Source organism: Homo sapiens (assembly GCF_000001405.40).
Source record: "Homo sapiens chromosome 9 unlocalized genomic scaffold, GRCh38.p14 Primary Assembly HSCHR9_UNLOCALIZED_CTG2".
Classification (NCBI taxonomy): domain Eukaryota; kingdom Metazoa; phylum Chordata; class Mammalia; order Primates; family Hominidae; genus Homo; species Homo sapiens.
The window spans coordinates 23,342-27,245 of record NT_187373.1 but is presented as its reverse complement, the minus strand read 5'-3'; the positions used below and the strand labels follow the sequence as shown (position 1 = coordinate 27,245).

The window sequence follows — 3,904 nt, the reverse complement described above, 5'->3', positions numbered from 1 at the left end:
ACCCGACTGACTAGTTTTGGGAGCTGGTAGGATGATTAGGAAAACTGAACCCTCAAGAAAAGAAAAGCATTTAGCTCAGTGCTCTGTCCCAGAGGCTACATTGTGTTGCCTCTTCTTGTCCATCAGTTTTCATTTTTTCAGACGGGGTCTTGCTCTGTCACCCAGGCTGGAATGCAGTGGTGATCAGAGCTCACTGCAGCCTTGAACTCCTGGGCTCAAACAATCCTCCTGTCTCAGCCTCCCGAGTAGCTGGGCCTACATGCATGCACCACCATCCCCAGCTAATTAGGTAATTTATTTTGAAAGCACTTTGAGAAGCACTTCACTGTCAAATCTGTAGGTCTAAAAGGAAAAGCATACATACACATAATTGATTTCACATTGTTTTACATTTCCTTTGTCTTCTTCTGGAATGTCATCTTTTTTCTTGGTTTCTCTTTCAGCACAGGATCTAATCTAGATATTGGAAAAGAGAATCCAATGGGTTATATGTTTATCTTCCACCTTCCCCACTTTACGTATCACATAAGAACATTCGAGATGATTTCTTATGCAGAAGAAAAAATTAACTGAGCAACTATATTCAGAAAAAGACAGGTTCTGGCTATGTGTTTTTACTTCATATATATAATCTATATGAGTAAGTGCTATCACATGCTTCCTCCACAGCCCTTGTGTCAGAAACACTACAGACAAAATTATTTCAGAAACATTTTACACATCAGATCTGTTAGGCAGTAAAGCAATCATTAACTAATTTAATTTTGTCCTCCAAGTCAATACACTAGGATCAAATTATCCCTAGTAGACAAGTGTTCATTTGATCAGATTGAAAGCTTAATAGCTATTTTAGATTGCACAGACTATTACCAAAGTATTAAAACTTTTAACATTACACAACTTGTTTTTAATTAATTGGAACCCACCTCTTTTACTAGCTTCTTATATCCTCCTAAGTTTGGATAGATGTTTACTATCACATGTCATAAGTTAATTGATCTGCATTCAACAATTAGGATCGCCCACAGAACAGGTAATTGGCAATGGTAAGGACTCATGTCTCCTAAGGGATCTCTGTGGCCAGAGTCTAGTTCCAGGGCTGCTTAGAAAGTGATGACAAATAACGTGTTTGTGCCAATGACATCTTTGTAACAGTTTTGATTAGAGGGGTCCCAGACCTGAAAACATTCCCTGCTAGGGCCTGTAGCACAATGCTACCTTTAGTAAGAGGGATCTGTGTTCTGGTAGATAAGGCAAGGTTATAAAGGTGAAGGGCTGACAGAGATTAGGAGAGCCTGCAATTAAATGGTACGAAAAGAGTCCTAAATAATCACTGTTCAGAGCTTCCAAGTACTTGACTAACCAAAGAGACCCAGAAAACTTTGTATTTCATCTGAAAATTGCTTTAAACAGTGAAAAATGCAATCTTTGTGTAAGTATCTTTGTATCTTTGTATAAGTGCAAAGCACTGCACATATATTTGCAATTGTTGCCTTCAATAACACTTTTGTGATGATATCCAGATGAAAAATAATTTAAACATGATACAATAAAATATAAATAAATTAAATTAAATGTAAGTCACAAACCCATCTGCATTTCCTCCATGACCTGTTTCCTGAGAAGCAATGTGCTATGAAATACTGAGACTGGCCTCTGGAGTCAGCTGGGCCTGGGTACACATCCTGTCTTACCACACCTTGAAATCACTGTGATTTCCATGAACTGACTGACAAAAACCACGAGGATGTAAGGAAGGTCAGAGGCTGTCTTACTGTCTGTAAGGCTGAGCTCACATCCACCTCACAGGAGCATTATGGAAATTCAAGACTGCAACGCATGTGCCGGATGCATGCAACGAAAAAATATAACACTTCACTTCTCTAACTGTAAGAAAATACCTACATTTTAGATTGAAATTGTTTGAGCTTTAGATTTGAAATTATCTGAAATCAAGACTATTCTAAAAAGAAAATCAAACATATGACCGGAAATCTAACATGAAGCACATACAGAGAATTGATAGATGCTTTTAAATTACACTGGTAGTAGAGAAAAACGTAACATAAATTTTTATGCTCTGATTATAAGAACGAAGGCCGTTTTAGAAAAGGCATTTGCCCCCTCTCTTAGAGCCTTCCACTCTGGCCCCCACAATGCCTGACAGAGTAAATCTGGGTCAGACTGGATGCAACCAGTGATTCCCAAAAGAGACAAACAAAGCAAGGTTCAGGATGCTCAGTACTGCGATGGAATGCCAAGACACAGAAAAGCCATGTGTCAAGAAGGGGGGAGTTATTCTTTAGACACATCCTGATATATGTTTATCATTAAAGATCAGTGGCTTTTGTGAGTCTAAAAAATTAAGCCTTAAATGTTTTCATCAAATTCCAGTTAACTACCTGATTTATCTAGGTTATATTAACAGTATTATTTAGAATTTCACCTTGATATGAAGATGTCTGTGTAACTTTTACAATGATGTAAAACAAAGAGTAGGGTTAGGGAGGGCACAGGCCACTGGTGCAATGGATAACGCGTCTGACTACGGATGAGGGAATTTAGCCTGGAATAAGGAACTTTTATTTCCAGCTTAGTGACGCACACAAATTTTAAAAATAAAATAAAAATCATGTTTTATGTGATTCATGTTTCTCCTAATGCAAAGAAGACGGGTACTATTACTAAAAATATTTTTAAAATGTAAGGGCTAAGGCCCCAGAAGTTCTGCTATGATTTTTTATGTTTCATAGAGTGATTATCATCACAGAAGCTCAAGCATTACATAAATACAAATGCGTGTACCCCGACCTGGTAATTCTGCTTCTTGAAATTTATCTTCAGGTCCACCCGCACATCTACAAATTGATGTATATTCAATGTTATGTACTGCAGCACTGTTTATAAGAGCAAAAGACTGGAAACAGCCTAAATTTCCATCTATAAAAGACTAAATAAATAAAGGTACATCCCTAAAATGGAATATTATGTGGCGTTAAAAAAGAGAGAGAGAGAAAGAGAGGAGAAGCAAGAAAAAGAGAAAGCTTTCTACATTCAAACTAATAGTAGAAAACTCTCCAAGATACAATTTTAAAGAAAAAAAAATCAAAGTCGAGAAAACTATAGAGGAGGCTGCCTTTAGTGTAAGACAGTTGAAAATTATAAATATATTCATATGTTTATAAAGAAATTTTAGGAGGCTATAAAAAAACAAAACAAAGGGAAAGAGGAACAGGAGCTGGGACACAGGTGAGCAAGATGCATGGCAGGCATATGTCTTCATCTTCGTATGCTTTTATTTAAAAATGTTGGACCACGTGTACATGTTATCTATTTTAAAAATTAGATTTTAAAATACAAGCAAGAAAACAAGAAAATGAAAGCATAAAAAGAGCATGTGGAACTACCAGTAAAAGATACTAATCCATGGAGATAATGGCAAGGTAGCTCCTAGATGCACTGATTTCTCTACCACACTGTATAAACAAGCCATCAACTATGCGATTTGTAATTTAAAATGAGTCTATTTGAAACACCACATTATAAAAAGCTATTAAGTAAATCTTCAAAGTGACAGTAAATGATGACTTAACATTTTAAAGAGATACAGTCACATCGCATGTGTGAATGCAGTCATCTGTATAAAATGTCATCATTACCTTCATCATTTCTTCTTCTCCTGCTGTTTTACTTTTTGCTTCTATGTCCCCTGCTTCATTGCATCTAATAAAGCAGCTATTTGAGGCCAACAAATCCATTTTCCCCTAAGTGAAACAAAATAACAAAATAGCCATGAGGATACTTCTTGTAGAAGAAATATTAAGTGTTTAGACTGAATGAATTTTTCCTCCCTGATTTAAAAATCACAGAAAAGAACTTAGAGAAAAACCTGAAAAATGTAATA

General features: G+C 36.2%; 1 long non-coding RNA gene across 1 annotated transcript; it reads right to left on the bottom strand.

Annotated features, from left to right (window-relative positions):
- Positions 1 to 364: 364 nt before the first annotated feature.
- On the bottom strand, positions 365 to 1,271 carry LOC102724727 (uncharacterized). The gene is made up of 2 exons (XR_001756126.2): positions 1,219 to 1,271; positions 365 to 456 (listed from the first exon to the last, which is right to left on the bottom strand). It is a non-coding gene; the product is annotated as an uncharacterized LOC102724727 (long non-coding RNA).
- Positions 1,272 to 3,904: the final 2,633 nt, after the last annotated feature.